The 19124-nt window shown below is 51.5% G+C and overlaps 1 pseudogene, besides 12 other annotated features; it reads left to right on the top strand.

Annotated features, from left to right (window-relative positions):
- Positions 3132–5256, top strand: BAK1P1 (BCL2 antagonist/killer 1 pseudogene 1; annotated as a pseudogene).
- Positions 3545–4107: an enhancer, noted in NCBI's record as "H3K27ac-H3K4me1 hESC enhancer chr20:31277881-31278443 (GRCh37/hg19 assembly coordinates)". NCBI's record gives its function as "activates a minimal SCP1, AML or CMV promoter by ChIP-STARR-seq in primed H9 embryonic stem cells {active_cell/tissue: H9 hESC(primed)}" and the evidence as "EXISTENCE:reporter gene assay evidence [ECO:0000049][PMID:30033119]".
- Positions 7332–7971: an enhancer, noted in NCBI's record as "OCT4-H3K27ac-H3K4me1 hESC enhancer chr20:31274017-31274656 (GRCh37/hg19 assembly coordinates)". NCBI's record gives its function as "activates a minimal SCP1, AML or CMV promoter by ChIP-STARR-seq in primed H9 embryonic stem cells {active_cell/tissue: H9 hESC(primed)}" and the evidence as "EXISTENCE:reporter gene assay evidence [ECO:0000049][PMID:30033119]".
- Positions 9586–10085: an enhancer, noted in NCBI's record as "H3K27ac hESC enhancer chr20:31271903-31272402 (GRCh37/hg19 assembly coordinates)". NCBI's record gives its function as "activates a minimal SCP1, AML or CMV promoter by ChIP-STARR-seq in naive and primed H9 embryonic stem cells {active_cell/tissue: H9 hESC(naive and primed)}" and the evidence as "EXISTENCE:reporter gene assay evidence [ECO:0000049][PMID:30033119]".
- Positions 10086–10587: an enhancer, noted in NCBI's record as "H3K27ac hESC enhancer chr20:31271401-31271902 (GRCh37/hg19 assembly coordinates)". NCBI's record gives its function as "activates a minimal SCP1, AML or CMV promoter by ChIP-STARR-seq in naive H9 embryonic stem cells {active_cell/tissue: H9 hESC(naive)}" and the evidence as "EXISTENCE:reporter gene assay evidence [ECO:0000049][PMID:30033119]".
- Positions 11968–12566: an enhancer, noted in NCBI's record as "H3K27ac-H3K4me1 hESC enhancer chr20:31269422-31270020 (GRCh37/hg19 assembly coordinates)". NCBI's record gives its function as "activates a minimal SCP1, AML or CMV promoter by ChIP-STARR-seq in primed H9 embryonic stem cells {active_cell/tissue: H9 hESC(primed)}" and the evidence as "EXISTENCE:reporter gene assay evidence [ECO:0000049][PMID:30033119]".
- Positions 11968–13166: a biological region, named in NCBI's record as "H3K27ac-H3K4me1 hESC enhancers GRCh37_chr20:31268822-31269421 and GRCh37_chr20:31269422-31270020".
- Positions 12525–12819: an enhancer, noted in NCBI's record as "tiled region #7023; K562 Activating DNase unmatched - State 1:Tss". NCBI's record gives its function as "activates a minimal TATA promoter and a strong SV40 promoter by Sharpr-MPRA in K562 cells {active_cell/tissue: K562}" and the evidence as "EXISTENCE:reporter gene assay evidence [ECO:0000049][PMID:27701403]".
- Positions 12567–13166: an enhancer, noted in NCBI's record as "H3K27ac-H3K4me1 hESC enhancer chr20:31268822-31269421 (GRCh37/hg19 assembly coordinates)". NCBI's record gives its function as "activates a minimal SCP1, AML or CMV promoter by ChIP-STARR-seq in primed H9 embryonic stem cells {active_cell/tissue: H9 hESC(primed)}" and the evidence as "EXISTENCE:reporter gene assay evidence [ECO:0000049][PMID:30033119]".
- Positions 13766–14365: an enhancer, noted in NCBI's record as "H3K27ac-H3K4me1 hESC enhancer chr20:31267623-31268222 (GRCh37/hg19 assembly coordinates)". NCBI's record gives its function as "activates a minimal SCP1, AML or CMV promoter by ChIP-STARR-seq in primed H9 embryonic stem cells {active_cell/tissue: H9 hESC(primed)}" and the evidence as "EXISTENCE:reporter gene assay evidence [ECO:0000049][PMID:30033119]".
- Positions 14366–14964: an enhancer, noted in NCBI's record as "OCT4-H3K27ac-H3K4me1 hESC enhancer chr20:31267024-31267622 (GRCh37/hg19 assembly coordinates)". NCBI's record gives its function as "activates a minimal SCP1, AML or CMV promoter by ChIP-STARR-seq in primed H9 embryonic stem cells {active_cell/tissue: H9 hESC(primed)}" and the evidence as "EXISTENCE:reporter gene assay evidence [ECO:0000049][PMID:30033119]".
- Positions 14965–15564: an enhancer, noted in NCBI's record as "OCT4-H3K27ac-H3K4me1 hESC enhancer chr20:31266424-31267023 (GRCh37/hg19 assembly coordinates)". NCBI's record gives its function as "activates a minimal SCP1, AML or CMV promoter by ChIP-STARR-seq in naive H9 embryonic stem cells {active_cell/tissue: H9 hESC(naive)}" and the evidence as "EXISTENCE:reporter gene assay evidence [ECO:0000049][PMID:30033119]".
- Positions 17924–18626: an enhancer, noted in NCBI's record as "H3K4me1 hESC enhancer chr20:31263362-31264064 (GRCh37/hg19 assembly coordinates)". NCBI's record gives its function as "activates a minimal SCP1, AML or CMV promoter by ChIP-STARR-seq in naive H9 embryonic stem cells {active_cell/tissue: H9 hESC(naive)}" and the evidence as "EXISTENCE:reporter gene assay evidence [ECO:0000049][PMID:30033119]".

Here is a 19124-nt window from a genome sequence, read left to right as displayed (position 1 = left end):
AGCTAATTTTTTTTTTTTTTTTTGTATTTTTTGTAGAGACAGGTTCTCACTCTGTTGCCAGGGTTGGTCTCAAACTCCTGGGCTCAAGGGATCCTCCTGCCTTGGTCTCCCAAAATGTTGAGATTATAGGCATGAGCCACCACGCCTGGCTGGGGTTTTGTTTTTGTTTTTTTAACATTTGTCACATTTCACAAAGGTATTTCAGAATCTCTGAGAAAAGTGCTATAATGTCTAATGATACTTTATATTTGGACAGCACTTTCGTTTGTTTTTTTTGGCGGGGGGGGTGGGAGAAGTCAAGTAACTTACATATAGTGAAATTTACCCTTCTTGAGTATGCAGTTCAGTGAGTTTTGATAAATGTGTAATGGTAGTGTAATCACTACCACAGTCAAGACATGGACAATTTTCATTACCCCACGAAGTGCCCTCATGTGTGGTTAGAGTCAGCCCTCCCATCAGCACAGTCCTGGCAGCCACTGACCTGGTTTCTGTCCCTACTGTTTTGCCTTTTCCAGAATGTCATTTAAGTGACATCATTCATTATGGAGACTTGTTTTATTTTTTATTTTTTATTTTTTGAGAAGGAGTCTCGCTCTTGTTGCCCAGGCTAGAGTGCAATGCTGTGATTTCGGCTCACTGCAACCTCCGCCTCCCGGGTTCAAGTGATTCTCCTGCCTCAGCCTCCCGAGTAGTTGGGACCACAGGCGTACACCACCATGCCCAGCTAATTTTTTTTTTTTTTTGAGATGGAGTCTCGCCCTGTCACCCAGGCTAGAGTGCAGTGGCATGATCTCGGCTCACTGCAAGCTCCGCCTCCCGGGTTCACGCCATTCCCCTGCCTCAGCCTCCCGAGTATGCCCGGCTAATTTTTGTATTTTTAGTAGAGACGGGGTTTCCCCATGTTGGCCAGGCTAGTCTCAAACTCCTGACCTCAAGTAATCCGCCTGCCTTGGCCTCCCAAAGTGCTGGGATTACAGGTGTGAGCCACCGCGCCCAGCCCATTATGTAGCTTTTTGTGCCCCACTTCTCCCACTTAGCATAATGTTTTTGAGATTCATCTGTATTACTAGTGCATCTGTAGTTCTTTCCTTTTTATGGCTGGGTTGTTTTTTGTTTTTGTTTTTGTTTTGTTTTTGAGATAGGGTCTCACTCTGTTGCCCAGGGTGGAGTGCACTATCGCAGCTCTCCGCAACCTCCACCTCCCAGGCTCAAGATATCCTCCCACCTCAGCCTCCTGAGTAGCTGGAAATACAAGTGTGTGTGCCACCATGCCGGTTAATTTTTTTTTCTTTTTTTTTTTTTTTTTTCAATTTTTGTTGGAAGCACCATGGAGCCGCCTGAGCCTGGCTGAGCCTAAAAGCCCTGTGGTGCATGCCTGGCCAATTTTTGTATTTTTTAGTAGAGACGGGATTTTGCCATGTCGCCCAGGCTGGTCTGGAACTCCTGGTCTCAGGTGATTCTCCTGCTTCGGCCTCCCAAGTAGCTGGGGTTACAGGCATGTGCCACCATGCTCAGCCCTCCCGTCAGCACAGTCCTGGCAGCCACTGGCCTGGTTTCTGTCCCTACTGTTTTGCCTTTTACTGGTCTCCATGCTCACCTAAATTTTTTTGTATTTTTTGTAGAGACAGATTCTCGCAATGTTGCTCAGGCTAGTCTCGAACTCCCGGCTTCAAGCAATCCTCCCACCTCAGTCCTCCAAAGTTCTGGAATTACAGGCATGAATCACTGTGCCAGTGTTGCATTCCAAAGCATGGATACATCACAGTTTTTAAAATGTTTACCAATGTAAATGGCCCGTTTTAATATGAGAATAACTAATGTTGAAGAGAGTGCTACAAAGAGGATCATGGTCGTGATGTGTAGACACAAAAATGAGGTTAGAAGACAGTAAGGTGAGGGCCGGGCACAGTGGCTCATGCTTGTAATCCTAGCACTTTGGGAGGTGCAGGTGGGAGGATTGCTTGAGCCCAGGAGCTGGAGACAAGTCCAGGCAACACAGCGAGTCCCTGCCTTTATAAAAAATTAGAAATTAAAAAAGCCTTGGCGTGGTGGCTCACGCCTGTAATCCCAGCACTTTGGGAGGCCGAGACGGGTGGATCACGAAGTCAGGAGTTCAAGACCAGCTTGGCCAAGATGGTGAAACCCTGTCTCTACTAAAAATAAAAAAAAAAAATTAGCCAGTCGTGGTGGTGGCACCTGTAATCCCAGCTACTCAGGAGGCTGAGGCAGGAGAATCGCTTGAACCCAGGAGGCGGAGTTTGCAGTAAGCCAAGGTCGCGCCACTGCACTCCAGCCTGGGCAACAGAGTAAGACTCTGTCTCAAAAAAAAACAAAAAACAAAAAAACAAAAAAAAAACAGGCCGGCGCAGTGGCTCATGCCTATAATCCAAGTACTTTGGGAGGCCAAGGCAGGCGGATCGCAAAGTCAGGAGTTCGAGACCAGCCTGGCCAATATGGTGAAACCCTGTTTCTGCTAAAAATACAAAAAATAGCCAGGTGTGGTGGCAAGCGCCTGTAGTCCCAGCTACTCAGGAGGCTGAGGCAGGAGAATCGCTTGAACCCGGGAGGCAGAAGTTGCAGTGAGCTGAGATTGCGCCACTGCACTCCAGCCTGGGCAACAGAGCGAGACTCCATCTCAAAGAAAAAAAAGCCAAAACATAGTAAGGTGAGGGTGAAACTTCTCTTTTAAAAAAATGTTTACATAGAAACAAACTAAATGGACAAAATGGATATAAACAAAAATGTTATCGGTGGTTATTTTTGGGCAGTAGAATTATAGGTTTTTAATTTCTTTTGCTTATTTATAGTTTCAAAAATTTTCAATTTTAATATAAATTAATGTGCTCTATTTATAGAGACAATACATGAAATATACTTAATAAAAATTCAAATGTTATAGAACTGAAAAAGATGAAAAGTAAAAACAACCTATTCCCCAGAGGTAGCCACTGTCCATAGTTTCTATTTTAGATTCTTTCCTTTATACAAGATTATTATAGCTTCTATTTTTTGGTGTATGAACTGTAGTCCTAGAGGATTTTATTAGTTATGAGTTCTATAACTAAGATCCATCATCTTAGTTGCTAAGAACGTAGATACTGAGAACATCATTTAAAAAAACATTTTTGGCTGGCACCTCTATGATCACTGGAGTCTCGCGGGTCCCTCAGGCTGCACAGGGACAAGTAAAGGCTACATCCAGATGCTGGGAATGCACTGACGCCCATTCCTGGAAACTGGGCTCCCACTCAGCCCCTGGGAGCAGCAGCCGCCAGCCCCTCGGGACCTCCATCTCCACCCTGCTGAGCCACCCGGGTTGGGCCAGGATCCCGGCAGGCTGATCCCGTCCTCCACTGAGACCTGAAAAATGGCCTCGGGGCAAGGCCCAGGTCCTCCCAGGCAGGAGTGCGGAGAGCCTGCCCTGCCCTCTGCTTCTGAGGAGCAGGTAGCCCAGGACACAGAGGAGGTTTTCCGCAGCTACGTTTTTTACCACCATCAGCAGGAACAGGAGGCTGAAGGGGCGGCTGCCCCTGCCGACCCAGAGATGGTCACCTTACCTCTGCAACCTAGCAGCACCATGGGGCAGGTGGGACGGCAGCTCGCCATCATTGGGGACGACATCAACCGACGCTATGACTCAGAGTTCCAGACCATGTTGCAGCACCTGCAGCCCACGGCAGAGAATGCCTATGAGTACTTCACCAAGATTGCCTCCAGCCTGTTTGAGAGTGGCATCAATTGGGGCCGTGTGGTGGCTCTTCTGGGCTTCAGCTACCGTCTGGCCCTACACATCTACCAGCGTGGCCTGACTGGCTTCCTGGGCCAGGTGACCCGCTTTGTGGTGGACTTCATGCTGCATCACTGCATTGCCCGGTGGATTGCACAGAGGGGTGGCTGGGTGGCAGCCCTGAACTTGGGCAATGGTCCCATCCTGAACGTGCTGGTGGTTCTGGGTGTGGTTCTGTTGGGCCAGTTTGTGGTACGAAGATTCTTCAAATCATGACTCCCAAGGGTGCCCTTTGGGGTCCCAGTTCAGACCCCTGCCTGGACTTAAGCGAAGTCTTTGCCTTCTCTGCTCCCTTGCAGGGGTCCCCTCTCAAGAGTACAGAAGCTTTAGCAAGTGTGCACTCCAGCTTCGGAGGGCCCCTGTGTGGGGGCCAGTCAGGCTGCAGAGGCACCTCAACATTCCATGGTGCTAGTGGGCCCTCTCTCTGGGCCCAGGGGCTGTGGCCGTCTCCTCCCTCAGCTCTCTGGGACCTCCTTAGCCCTGTCTGCTAGGCGCTGGGGAGACTGATAACTTGGGGAGGCAAGAGACTGGGAGCCACTTCTCCCCAGAAAGTGTTTAATGGTTTTAGCTTTTTATAATACCCTTGTGAGAGCCCATTCCCACCATTCTACCTGAGGCCAGGACGTCTGGGGTGTGGGGATTGGTGTGTCTATGTTCCCCAGGATTCAGCTATTCTGGAAGATCAGCACCCTAAGAGATGGGACTAGGACCTGAGCCTGGTCCTGGCCGTCCCTAAGCATGTGTCCCAGGAGCAGGACCTACTAGGAGAGGGGGGCCAAGGTCCTGCTCAACTCTACCCCTGCTCCCATTCCTCCCTCCGGCCATACTGCCTTTGCAGTTGGACTCTCAGGGATTCTGGGCTTGGGGTGTGGGGTGGGGTGGAGTCGCAGACCAGAGCTGTCTGAACTCATGTGTCAGAAGCCTCCAAGCCTGCCTCCCAGGGTCCTCTCAGTTCTCTCCCTTCCTCTCTCCTTATAGACACTTGCTCCCAACCCATTCACTACAGGTGAAGGCTCTCACCCCCATCCCTGGGGGCCTTGGGTGAGTGGCCTGCTAAGGCCCCTCCTTGCCCAGACTACAGGGCTTAGGACTTGGTTTGTTATTTCAGGGAAAAGGAGTAGGGAGTTCATCTGGAGGGTTCTAAGTGGGAGAAGGACTATCAACACCACTAGGAATCCCAGAGGTGGGATCCTCCCTCATGGCTCTGGCACAGTGTAATCCAGGGGTGTAGATGGGGGAACTGTGAATACTTGAACTCTGTTCCCCCACCCTCCATGCTCCTCACCTGTCTAGGTCTCCTCAGGGTGGGGGGTGAGAGTGCCTTCTCTATTGGGCACAGCCTAGGGTCTTGGGGGTCGGGGGGAGAAGTTCTTGATTCAGCCAAATGCAGGGAGGGGAGGCAGATGGAGCCCATAGGCCACCTCCTATCCTCTGAGTGTTTGGAAATAAACTGTGCAATCCCCTCAAAAAAATAAAAATAAAAAAAATAAAAATAAAAAAACATTTTTTTCAAGCAGGGAGTGGTGGCTCCCGCCTGTAATCCCAGCACTTTGGGAGGCCAAGGCGGGCAGATTGCTTCAGTTCAGGAGTTCAAGACCAGCCTGGGAAACATGGTGAAACCCCATCTCTACTAAAAATAAAAAATTAGCCAGGCATAGTGTCGCGCACCTGTACTCCCAGCTATTTGGGAGGCTGAGGTAGGAGAATTGCTTGAACCCAGGAGGTGGAGGTTGCAGTGAGCTGAGATCAGGCCACTGCACTCCAACGTAGGTGACAGAGATAGCCTCCTTCTAAAAAAACAACCTTTTTTCCAGCCAAAACAACTGAACTTCCTCCCCACTGACCACCTCAATTATTTCTAGATGCCTTGTTGCTGTCCAGACTGCGGTGATTCCCTGGGCTGATCTGAGCCCGTGGCCTGAGTCATTTGCAGTTCCTCTAGCAGGTGGTCCCCCATGTCATGGCCCCTGTGAAACCAGTTCCTTACCATCTCTGTTCATCGCTGCTCCCTAAGTTAGGCCCTGCATGTCTTGAGGGTAGGTTAGATTCAGAAAAGCTTTGGTCGCATCACTGCTTTCATAAACTCAAATGAGAGGGAGGGAGGGAAGGCAGGAAGAAGGGAGGGAGTCCTTTCTCTCCCACAGTGTGCATTACCTCATGTAACACTTCTTGCTAATGTGGTAGAATGTGTTTGACTTTGAATGAGACTTGGGTTTATTTTTATTTATTTATTTATTTATTTATTTATTTATTTATTTATTTATTTATTTATTTTGAGATGGAGTTTCACTCTTGTTGCCCAGGCTGGAGTGTAGTGGCACGATCTCTACTCATTGCACCCTCCGCCTTCCAGGTTCAAACGATTCTCCTGCCTCAGCCTCCCAAGTAGCTGGGATTACAGGGGCATGCCACCATGCCCAGCTAATTTTTGTATTTTTAGTAGGGACGGGGTTTCACCATGTTGACCAGGCTGGTCTGGAACTCCTGATCTCAGGTGATCCACCTGCCTCGGCCTCCCAAAGTGTTGGGATTACAGGCGTGAGCCACCGTGCCTGGCCTGAGACTTAAATCCATCTCTTTTTTCTTCTTCTTTTTGAGACAGAGCCTCATTCTGTTTCCCATGCTGGAGTTCAGTGGCGTGATTTTGGCTCACTGCAACCTTGGCCATCTGGGTTTGAGCAATTCTCGTGCCTCAGCCTCCTGAGTAGCTGGCACTATAGTCACATGCCACCACGCCCGGCTAACTTTTTTGTATTTTTAGTAGAGACAGGGTTTCACTATGTTAGCCAGGCTGGTCTCGAATTCCTGACCTCAGGTGATCTGCCCACCTTGGCCTCCCAAAGTGCTGGGATTACAGGCATGAGCCACCGCGCCCAGCCCACCACCTCCTTTTTTTAAATTAATTAATTAATTTTCTAAAGATAGGGTCTCACTCTGTCACTGAGGCTGGAGTGCAGTGGCACAATCATAACTCACTGCAGCCTCGAACTCCTGGGCTCAAGAGCTCCTCCCACCTCAGCCACCAGAGTAGCTAGGACTACAGGTGCACACCACCATGACTGGCTAATTTTTAAATTTTTTGCAATGATGAAGTCTCACTCTGTTGTCCCGGCTGGTCTCAAACTCGGGTTCAAGTGATCCTCCCGCCTCAGCCTCCCGAAGTGTTGGGATGACAGGCGTGAGCCACCATGCTCGACCTAAATCCACCTATTATTGTTTATATTCATGGATGCACCAGTTCAGTGAGAATATGTTAGCCGCCCACTGTGTACCAGCCCTGGTGCTAAGCAGTGCGTAACCTGGAGGCTTGTGTCACCTGTCCATACCTTTGAGGTTCATCTATAAAATGGAGATAGTGTATCCTCTGAAGGTGATTCTGAGGACTGAATGCAGTGCCTGCTTCAGAGTTGTACATCATCACCTCTATCACTCATCATTGGGTGCTTAGTACTAAGCCTAAGCCATAGTACTGAGTACTTTTGGAGAAAATGATAAACCAAGCAAATTTATTGGTGGTAGGTAGCTACCCGATCCCCCTGCAAGTTCTACCCAAGACTAAATGAATGGCTAGACCAATGGTTCTCTTTAAAAAAAAAATTCTATTGGCTGGGCACCGTGGCTCACACCTGTAACCCCCGCACTTTGGGAGGTCAAGGCGGGTGGATCACCTGAGGTCAGGAGTTCGAGACCAGCCTGACCAACACAATGAAACCCTGTCTCTACTAATAATACAAAAATTAGCTGGGCGTGGTGGCAGGCACCTGTAGGTCCAGCTATTTGGGAGGCTGAGGCAGGAGGATCGCTTGAACCCCATCTCAAAAAACAAAACAAAAAAAAACCACTTGGGGCTGGGCACGGTGGCTCACACCTATAACCCCAGTACTTTGGGAGACTGAATTGGGCAGATCACTTGAGCCCAGGAGTTCAAGACCAGTCCGGGCAACATAGTGAGACCCTGTCTCAACAAAAAATACAAAAATTAGCCAGGTGTGGCGGCACACACCTGTGGTCCCAGCTATGTGGGAGGCTGAAGGGAGGATTGCTTGAGCCTGGGAGGTCAAGGCTGCAGTGAGTCATGATCACACCACTGCACTCCAACCTGGGTGACAGAACAAGACCCTGTCCCCCACCAAAAAAAAGGAACTCTTAGGCAACATACAGGAAATCGTAAATCTATGTAGCAAGGCTGTGAGTTATGGAGGAGGACGCTGGGTTACAGTGCCTGGGGAGGAGAGTTAGTGAGTCGCCAGAGGAGGTCCCTCTGCGTGGCTGAGCCCCACAGCGCTGGGTCAGGGCTAGGGAGTGGTCTGCTTTGCCCTGCTAGGCCCAAAGACGGGGAGTCTCAGTGTCTCCAGGCAGGCGTTTGGGCCACACTTTCCCTTCACATGGACTTTGTGTAGCAGGAGATCAATATGCTGCCTCTGGCCTCTTTGGAGAGGCCCGTTTACCTGCTGTTGACTAAATAAAGGCTTAGAGAGGCTTATGGAATAAGGCGGCTTTCACATCAAAGGGCTCTTACAAAACAGCCCGGTGATGAGTTAAGTACGAATGAATCAGAAACAGATGGACTCAATTTCCTAGAAAATACCCCTGGGCTTCAACAAGAAGAGGGAAAGTGCTCGGCCAAAGGCATTGTGGGTTTTTGCTGATCCTAAAATATGCTCGATGATTTTGCCTGAAATGAGCTGAGATGCTGGGAATATGTCGGCTCCAAGTCATGAGAAACTCTGGGCTGGAGCTCTGCCAGCACATCAGCTGATTTCCAGCAGCTCTCCAGCTCGCCTTGTGGGGCCTGAAGGAGACCCCACTGACTTGGGGCCACTCTGGGTTTGCAAGGCCTGGACAGAAGGTACTGGCAAGACCTTTCTTTCTCTCTCTCTCTTTTTTTTTTTTTTGGTGAGACGGAGATTTACTCTTGTTGCCCAGGCTGGAGTGCAATGGCGTGATCTCGGCTCACTGCATCCTCCGCCTCCCAGGTTCAAGCAATTCTCCTGCCTCAGCCTCCCGAGTAGCTGGGATTACAGGCATGTGTCACCATGCCCAGCTAATTTTGTATTTTTAGTAGAGACGGGGTTTCACTGTGTTGCCCAGGCTGATCTCGAACTCCTGACCTCAGGTGATCTGCCCGCCCCGGCCTCCCAAAGTGCTGGGATTACAGGCGTGAGCCACCGCACCCGGCAAGACCTTTTTTTTTTTTTCCTGCATCAGTTTCCTGATGATAAAATGCAGGAATCGTTTTCCTTTGTTTGTTTTTTTCTTTTGAGACTGCATCTCATTTTCTTGCCCAGGCTGGAGTGCAGTGGTACGATCTCGGCTCGTTGCAACCTCCACTTCCTGGGTTCAAGCAATCCTCCTGCCTCAGCCTCCTGAGTAGCTGGGACTATGGGTGCTTGCCACCACACCCGGCTAATTTTTGTATTTTTAGTAGAGACAGGGTCTCAGCATGTTGACCAGGCTGGTCTTGAACTCCCGACCTCAAGTGATCCCCCCCACCCCCCACCCTGGCTGCACAACAGCATTTGAGGAATGCTTGAAAAATTTCACTGTTAGGTCTCCAGCCCAGGCTCTTTAAGATGAGGATCTCTGATAGCAGAGGGGCCTGGCATCCTTGTTTGCAGAAGCTCCTCAGGGAGTTCCCCTGCATGGCCAGGGGTTCTCAGTGTTTGGTGCACATCACAATCCCCTGGGAGCTCTCCTTGCCCCAGCCTGGACCTGTGAAATCAAAATAGGATGGAATGGGTAGTGATTAGGACATCTGTGGTTTTTTTTTTTTTTTTTTTTTTGAGATGGGGCCTTGCTCTGTCGCCCAGGCTGGAGTGCAGTGGCGCAATCTCAACTCACTGCAACCTCTGCCTCCTGGGTTCAAGTGATTCTCCTGCCTTAGCCTCCTGAGTAGCTGGGACTACAGGCGTGTGCCACCACGCCTGGCTAAGTTTTTGTATTTTTAGTAGAGATGGGGTTTCACCCTGTTAGCCAGGATGGTCTCGATCTCCTGACCTCGTGATCCGCCCACCTTGGCCTCCCAACGTGCTGGGATTACAGGCGTGAGCCACTGTGCCCATCTGTGCTTTTAACAGGCTCCCTGGGTGACTCTGATGTGCACGTACGTGTTGAGAACCCTAGATCATACACTTTGGTTATATTTGCCTGGGCTTCTAATGGAGGTCTGGGTCCTGGTGGCTGCTTTGTAAATGCTGATTAGAGATTGGTAAGAAGGGGGAGACCCTCCTTATGAAGCAGCAAGTGTTTGAGGACCTCTGACACTCTTGGCTGTCCTCTTCACAGAGGAGAACAAAAATGATGGCAAGGCCGGGCGCGGTGGCTCACGCCTCTAATCCCAGCACTTTGGGAGGCCGAGCGGGCAGATCACTTGAGGTCAGGAGTTTGAGACCAGCCTGGCCAACTTGGCAAAACACCATCTCTACTAAAAATACAAAAATTAGCCAGGCGTGGTGGTGTGTGCCTGTAATCCCAGCTACTTGGGAGCTTGGGAGGCTGAGGCAGGAGAATCACTGGAACCTGGGAGGCAGAGGGTGTAGTGAGCTGAGATCACGCCACGGCACTCCAGCTTGGGCGACAGAGTAAGACTCTGTCTCAGAAAAAAAAAAAAGGCAACAGTTTATGGAATGTTTTACTGAATGTTCCCATCCACCATCAACAGGCCCCTGCCCTCTGGGAGTTCACCTGTGTGGTGGGTGGAACAGCCCTGCACCTGTGTTCCAAACTCCTAGCTCCAGCCTCACCCTGCAGTGCTCTTCTGAGCCTCTCTCTACTGAACATCATAAGAAGGAACAAATGAAGAAGAGGTGTTCTGATCGTGTAACTGGTTAACTTTGTGGTATGGTCAAGAGGATAGAAGGTGCTTGAGTGCTAGCCTAAGTGGTGCCAATTGCTTACAGTGAGAAGTCATTTAATTATTCATTTAACAAATATTTTCTGAGGATCTACTTTGTACCAGGCCTTGGGAACACCAGGGTGAGCAAAATCAACCTTGTGGGTTGACTCTGCCTGGGGAGACAGACAGTAGCTGGGTAAAGAAGTCCATAATGAACTTGTTCTGTGAGTTAGGATGGGAGCTGTCTTCATGCAGGGATAGGGAATAATGTGTGTGTGTGTGTGTGTGTGTGTGTGTGTGTGTGTGTGTGTGTGTTGTGGGAGGCGGATTCTTTTTTTTTTTGAGATGAAGTCTCACTCTGTGGCCTAGGCTGGAATGCAGTGGTGCGATCTCAGCTCATGGCAACCTGTGTCTCCCAGGTTCAAGTGACTCTCCTGCCTCAGCCTCCTGAGTAGTGGGGACTACAGGTGCGTGCCACCACGCCTGGCTAATTTTGAGACGGGGTTTCACCCAATTGGCCAGGCTGGCCTCGAACTCCTGACCTTGTGATCCACCCACCTTGGCCTCCCAAAGTACTGGGATTACAGGCATGAGCCACCGCACCCGGCCAGGGGGAGGCAGATTCTTAAAGTGGTCAGGGAAGGTCTCTGAGAAGCTGACAGGTGACCTAGTCCTGCAGGATGCAGAGGAGCCTGACATGTAATGATGGAAGACAGAAGGGAAGGCACGTGCAAAGGCCCTGAGGTGACAGCATGTTTTGTGAGTTTGAGAAACGACAAGGCCAGGGCGGCTGGTGAAGGAGATCAAGGGGGAGCGATATGAGGGCCGAGATCGCAGGCCCAGACATGCAGGGCTGTGATTAGGATGTAACATCTTCAGCAGGAGAGCAGCCTGCATTTTATCTCCCAGATAAGAGAGTGCATCAGGGTTTGAACGAAGGGAAGTAAGAATGACAATATGGGCCAGGTGTGGTGACTCATTCCTGTAACCCCAGCTACTCGGGAGGCTGAGGCGGGAGGATCACTTGAGCCCAGGAGATTGAGGCTGCAGTGAGCTGTGATGGCACCGCTGCACTCCAGCCTGGGTGACAGAGCAAGACCCTGTCTCTGAAAAAAAGAAAGAACAAGATGGAATGTTGTCTACATTTTAGGGACATGGACTTAAAGTTTTTTTTTGTTTTTTGTTTTTGTTTTGAGACAGAGTCTCATTCTGTCACCCAGGCTGGAGTGCAGTGGCACAATCTCAGGCTCACTGCAACCTCTGCCTCCCGGGTCCAAGCGATTCTCCTGCCTCAGCCTCCCGAGTAGCTGGGGTTACAGGCGCGTGCCATCACGCCTGGCTAATTTTTTGTATTTTTAGTAGAGACAGGGTTTCACCATGTTAGCCAGGGTGGTCTCGATCTCCTGACCTCATGATCCGCCTGCCTCGGCCTCCCAAAGTGCTGGGATTACAGGCATGAGCCACCGCGACCGGCCTGACATGGACTTAAAGTTTGACCTCACGTGTGACCTGTGTAAGTCACCACTGCTCTACGGACCCCCTTTGTGGGAGGATTGGCCCAGTTATCTGTGTCTAGCTGTGTGTCTAAGGAGCCTCTGGTCATCCACACAGAAACTGAACGTAAAGAGTGTCCGCCACGCACGTGGCTGGGACAGTGAGAACCTCTGGAAGCTGTGTCGCAGATGTTTGTTCATCATTGAGTGAAGTGGTTGCTCTTCTTGACTCTACTATTGTCCCCAGGGCAGGCGACCCGTAAATACTGATTGACGAAGGCCGAGCTGGCCTTATTTCACATCAGTCTCATTATTCTTCTTCCCAGGAGAAAGAGAAAGAGAAAGAGGTCTGCCCTGTACAGTGGCTGGGAGGAGGTGGGAGGGAGGCGGCAGGAGGCAGTGTGGCTGTGTGGCTGGAGACTCTGGCTGGTGAGGCTGGGCGCTGGGCTCTGGGCAGGTGTCATTTTTATGAATGATTTCCTGCCAGGTAGAGGAGCTGACTCAGCCGGCGGCCTCCCATGGGCTGGTGTGGGCCTGCTTTTCCGGAGCCCAATGCTAATCTGCCTGGGGCAGCTGGCTCTGGGGAAGGAAGGGCCTCCCACAGAGGGGAGGGCAACTGTGCATCTTAGCAGCTTTTCTCCCCCCAGAGCTTTTCTTAGCTTGTCGGGGTGGGCCGTGGGGAAGGGAGTACGACTCACCCAGTCTCCCCTCCCCCTTTTCGCTCCCTTTCTCCCTCTCCCCTCTCCAGCCTGCTGTCAGCCAGTTGCAGCTCCACTGCCTGCCTCATGCCTGCCTGCACTGCTTTCAGCAGATGTGTCTGTGGGAGCAAGTGAAGGCTCCCTGAGAAAACCCCTCCACCTAGCAGGTCTCTGCAGCCACCCCTGGAAGCCAGGAGGCTCCTGGGGTGGGCAGTGTTGGGGGTGGCAGCAGTGGGGAGGAATTCCACCTTTCCACCCATGCACCAGCTCCTGGAGCGCTCTCCCCAGAGATTCCTAGTGCTGGCTCTGTCATCTCCTCCAGGTCAGAGCAATCATTCCAGAGAGAAGCTCTTCTGTGCTTGTAGACAGTGTGGGAGGGTTTTCAGGCCTGTCTCAAAGCCCAGGCAGAAGATGTGTCTCTGAGCTTGGGTGTATTTGGCATCAGAGAGGGAAAGAGGAAGGGGGATTTGTGGAATGCCTGATCACCTTTTAGCCTTCAGGAATGCCTGTCTTCAGTCCCTTGCCTGCCTGGGGCCTTTGCAGAGCTCTCCATCCTGTGGACACCTTAGTTCATTGAATTCTTACATTAAGAAGCAGTTATTATTTTCCCCATTTTACAGATTAGGAAACAGGCCCAGAGAGGGAAATTCATTTGCCCAAAGTTACACAGCAACCAAGTAGGGGGATGTGGCTCCAAACCAAGTCTGCCCAGCCCCAAAGCCATTCTGTACACTTCCCTGGCTCCTGGAGGCAAAGCCTATGAAGAAGGTGAATGTGTAGGAAACTACTCTCTTGTCAGGCACCAGAAGAGAAGTGGGGGATGGGGAGTCAGGGGCTTGGGTCTAACCTGCTAACAGTCTTGGGCAGACTCTGTTCATCCTCTGTTCCTCTATGACCCCATCTATAACACGAAAGGCTTACATTGGGTGCTTCTTTTGGTTTTTGTTTTTGAGACAGAGTCCCACTCTGCCACCCAGGCTGGAGTGCAGTGGCACCATCTTGACTCACTGTAACCTCTGCCTCCCATTTTCAAGCAATTCTCCTGCCTCAGCCTCTGGAATAGCTGGGATTGCAGGCGCATGCCACCATGCCTGGCTAAGGCTGATTTTTTTATTTTTAGTAGAGACAAGGTTTCAACATGTTGGCCAGGCTGATCTTGAACTCCTGACCTCCGTCTCCCAAAGTGCTGGGATTACAGGCATGAGCCAACGCACCTGGCCTACACTGGGTGCTTTTGAGATCCCTGTTAGTGCCAACGTTCTTTCCTTCTGAAATGACCTCACCAAGGCCCAGAGTTCTGCAGGGGGCTGGACACTGGCATGCGTGGGCAATCTGACCTGCCAGAGCACCTTCCGGTGGCTCCTCTTTCACTCGCCCTCTGAGGCTTGCTCAGCTCAGAAAAGGAAAAGCGCTACTGGTTATCGGTGGGTGCTGAGCTGAGCAGGAAAAGCTGAGCCCTAATCCCAGTATTCCCTGGAAGGGTCTGCATGACCTTGGGCAAGTCACTAGCCTGCTCAAGAGAACAGGGACCATGTCCCACCTCCTGCCTCCATCCTAGGGGATCAGGGGAGATGATGGATGTCAGTGGGCTCTGGGATAAGCTTACAGAAGGAGGACCCTCCAGTTTCCTCTCCCTCAGGTGTTGATGGGATTGGGCCTGCTGTAATTATCAACACTTCTAAGCAATTTGCAGGCGGCTGCAGGCAGTGGGAGCTAAGGGGAGGAGGTAGCCTCTGGAGGGCCTAGAAAATCTTTTTGCTAGATTTAGAGCAACTGGGTCCAGGTCTCCTCCTCCTACCAGTCTTGTCTGCAGGCCAAGCCATGCCTGCTCCTGCATCCTGGTCTTTGTCTCTGAGAAGAGCTCTCACCCTACTAGCCCAGAGGGGGAAGGAGCAGCAAGGTTGCTGGTGATGCTGAAAATCAAGTTGAACGTCCTTATATGACAGCAGTTTGAACAGATCAGCAAGTTCAACCACACAGAGGTGCCTGGAAGCCCCTCTCAGTGATACCTAAGAGGGAGGTCTCTGGAACCAGCCTGCCAGTTTCTTCCCTCCAGCCCTACTCTTACTGCCTGGGGGCCCATGGGCAAGTCTCCCTGCCACGGTTTCCCCATCTCTGAAATGGGAGCAGTGGCAACTCCGGGGCTGGAGGAGTAAATGCAGCAAAGCATGTGTGTTTGGCACTCACAGTGAACCACAGTCAACGACAGCCAGCACCACTGGGGGTGGTTGCTGTCATCGCTGGCATTATGCCTCACCCAGCCCATCTCTTGCACTATGTTGGACACTGTCCCAGGATGGCGGCAACCATCTCTGTCCCCGACACAGTGCCCTGACAGGCCTTCCCATCTGAGCACCAGTTGCCTGCACTGCACTTCTTTTTTTTTTTTTTGTACACAGAGTCTTGCTCTATCCCCCAGGCTGTAGTGCAGTGGTGCGATCTTGGCTCACTGCAACCTCCGCCTCCTGAGTTCAAGTGACTCTCCTGCCTCAGCCTCCTGAGTAGCTGGGATTACAGGCACCCACTACCATGCCTGGCTAATTTTTGTATTTTTAGTAGAGACAGGGTTTCACCATGTTGGCCAGGCTGGTCTCGAACCCCTGACCTCAGGGGATCCGCCCACCTTGGCCTCTCAAAGTGCTGGGATTATAGGCATGAGCCACCATGCCCGGCCACTTCTATTTATTGTTTTTGAGACCGAGTTTCACTCTTTTTGCCCAGGCTGGAGTACAATGGCGCCATCTCGGCTCACCGCAACCTCTGCCTCCCAGGTTCAAGCAATTCTCATGCCTCAGCCTCCTGAGTAGCTGGGATTACAGGCACGTGCCACCACGCCCTGCTAATTTTTGTATTTTTAGTAGAGATGGGGTTTCACTGTGTTGGCCAGGTTGGTCTTGAACTCCTGACCTCAGGTAATCTGCCTGCCTCAGCCTCCCAAAGTGCTGGGATTACAGGCATGAGCCACCGCGCCCAGCCACTTCTCTCTTTCTTTCTTTCTTTCTTTTTTCTTTTTTTTTAAATAGAGACAGTCACTATTGAGACTGTTGCTCAGGCTGGCCTTGAACTCCTGGGCTCAAGTGATCCTCCCACCTCGGCCTCCCAAAGTGCTGGGATTACAGGTGTGAGCCACTGCACCCAGCCTGTGCTGCACTTCTCTATGCATATGTCTCACCGTCTGGATGGCAAATTCCTGGACTTCTGGGCTTCCAGAATTCTGATGCACCCCACAGCTGACACTGGCTGACATTGCTGGAAGGACATGTTAACAGTCTTAGAAGGGTGTGGAGGGGAGGCAGGGCTCCTCCCTCTGCACTACTCTGTGCTTTCTCCTCTACCTCTGGTTTCTCCTCAGAAGAGTGAGGAGCTGTGGTCATTTCACAAACCCTGTAACACTGGGAGAGGTGGAATGTGACTCAGACTGCCCAGGGAAAGAGGGGCTGCCAACCACGCCCTTCCTCTTTCCTTCGCACCTGCACGTCCTGAGCCAGTGGTTTGTGCTCCTCTGTGAGAGCTGATAAACTGGCCTATGGGGAGGCCCAGAGCCATTCCCCATCGCACCTCCCCAAGTGGGGCTTTCTAAAAGATCCCGAACCTAGGAGGTGCTTGATAAGTGATTGCTTGATACATGCTTATGAGGTGGGGTTTGCTTCTCCCAGGCACTGACAAGGTAGATAGTGCTGACAAGTAATAGCCTCTGAATTGCCAAAGGCGATGTCAAGCTTTCGCCATTAAGGTTTGAGCTAGAGGGGTACAAATTAGAGGTGAAACCAATGTGGGGAGCTGAGAGTCAGAGCTCTTTGGGGGCACACAGTGCTCTCAGCACTGCTGAGAACTCACATTTCTGCACGGACTCTTAGCAGTGAGGGCCAGAAAATGCAGTGGGCCTGAATGAGATGCACGTGCTGCAAGACCAACTCTGCTGGTTCAGTTAACACTCAGGGAGCCATGTGGTCAAGGGCAGCATCGGGGCCTACATCCTGGAGATACCAAGATCCAATTAAGCAAGTGTTTATTAAACACCTACAATACACCCGGCCCTGGGCCTCTGAGATGGAGATGATGCCGTCTCTGCCCTGGGTAACCCCGGGTGGACACATGACAGACACTAGGTGATTAAGAACCATTTGAGGCCGGGCGCGGTGGCTTATGCCTCTAATCCAAGCACTTTGGGAGGCCGAGGCAGGTGGATCACTTGAGGTCAGGAGTTCGAGACCAGCCTGGCCAACATGGTGAAACCCCGTCTCTACTAAAAATACAAAAAATTAGCTGGGCATGGTGGTGGGCACCTGTAAATCCCAGCTACTCAGGAGGCTGAGGTAGGAAAATCGCTTGAACCCAGGAGGCGGAAGTTGCAGTCAGCCAAGATTATGCCATTGCACTCCAGTCTGGGCGACAAGAGCGAAACTTCGTCTCAAAACCAACAAAAAAAACGGGTTCCTTTGTTCCACTGCGAAGAAGAGCAGTGCAGGCATCCCATGCTCAGATGGGAAGGCCTGGTTCCTGGGGTGGGTGGCACTTAGGAAGCGAGCATCTAACTAGTTGCAGGGCCATGTGCAAGTCACCAGTTTCCATGCCTCGGTTTCCCCACCTATCATACAGTCCTGCATGATCCAGCCTCTGTTTCTCCTCTTGCCTCGTGTCTGGCCAGCCGCTCCATGCCTGCACTCCCTCTGCTGCTCCGGCCTCCAGTGGCCTCCCAGGCTAACACCTCCTCATTTGTCACATCTCAGCTCAAGCATCATCTCTAGGAGGCCTTCCCTGGCCACCTGGCTCTGCATCCTCTCACACCCCATCATGCCTTATGACACTTGACATCACGTGCAACCGTGTATTTATCTGTTGCTCTTTTTAGTGGCTTTCTCTTCTTGGCCCAAAGCCTGGCACTGAATAAATATTTGTTGAATGAATGAATAAACTAATGAATGAACAAATGAGCAGGTGTGCTGTGGGACTCAGATGACCCCACAGCTGGGACTCAGTGCCCTGGGAGTGGAGGGACACAATGTGTTCCTAAGCCCATGGGCCAGAGTCAGGGAATCCCACATAGAAACTGGCTTCCCCTGGGCTTCCAGAGGCTGCCAGGGAGCATCACTGCCTTAGGCCTCCCGCCCGGAACAAGAACAGGCCTTCCTGGAGCCACTATTGTGGTCAGCATTGTTGTGGTCCTTGCTGCCCTCGCAGCTGTGCTCCCTGGAATTCCCAGGTGGCTGTGTGTGTGTGTGTGTGTGTGTGTGTGTGTGTGTGTTAGTGGGGTGGGCGTGGGGGAAACCTGGAGCCCTGACCCTGAGGCCACCTGCCTCAGTGGGTTGGACAGGGAGGCTTCTTGAAGATTGACCCCCAACCTGAGTCTCCCCAGCGGAAGGGGAATTCGGCTGGTGGGGAAGGTGGGGGAATGGGCGTGGCGTATTCTAGGCTTAGGGATCCCAGGGCTGCGGGAGGACAGCCAAAGCTGGAGCGCCAGTCGTGCAGGCCAGAGCTGATGGGGCTTTGCCTACCATGCCAGGTGCTGCTTCTGGAGGGTGGGGCAGGGGGAAGGATTTGAAATGAGGTAGCAACAGCACAATCAGAATTGTGTTGTTCAAAGGCCTTCCTGTCACGGGGAGAGGATAGGCCACCACAGGTTCTTTCCTATCTCCCTCTTTCCCCTCCAGACCTTACCCCTTCTAAAATGGAGGCATTTTGTTTGTTTTCGCTCAGAACCCAGTTCCTCATGAACTGTCATTGTAAATAGACCGGAGGCCAGAACAAAGGAAGATTTTTTAAAATTATTTTTTCCTCCTTTAAAGACTAGCTTAATGAGAACTGCTGACATGGGGTAAAGTACAGCACGCCCAAGCTGAGAGAGGTGTGGGGGTACCCTAGACTGGGAAACTGAGGCCCAGGGAGAAGCACTGCTGGGCAAGGAGCATCCCTCTACATCCCAGGTGGGGTGGGCGCTCCACACACCAGTGTGATGGGAAAAGTGGAGGTGATGAGTGTCCTCACCTGGGCACAGCCTGGCCCTCATGAGATGGAACGTGCAGGGAGCCTTTTGGGGGAGGGTTCAGGAGGAGAACTGGGTGGTTTGCCCAGGAACTCAGAAGGAGTATTCCCTAGGCGGGTGGGTAGCGTGTGGAAGGACACCTGAGGCAGACAGAAGACACAGAGACCCAAGGGAGAAGGAAGAACGGCTGGGTTTAGAGACGTGGACGTAAGTGAAAGGGCAGAGCCAAGGATGCAGCAGGACAGGAGGGAGGGGGTTAATAACACACTTGAAGCCCACGGTCCAGGTTTGATTTCATTTAACTTAGTTTACTCTGGACCCCTGA

This window comes from Homo sapiens, chromosome 20 (assembly GCF_000001405.40).
Source record: "Homo sapiens chromosome 20, GRCh38.p14 Primary Assembly".
NCBI classification, from domain to species: Eukaryota; Metazoa; Chordata; class Mammalia; order Primates; family Hominidae; genus Homo; species Homo sapiens.
This window is presented reverse-complemented; position numbering and strand designations above follow the sequence as displayed.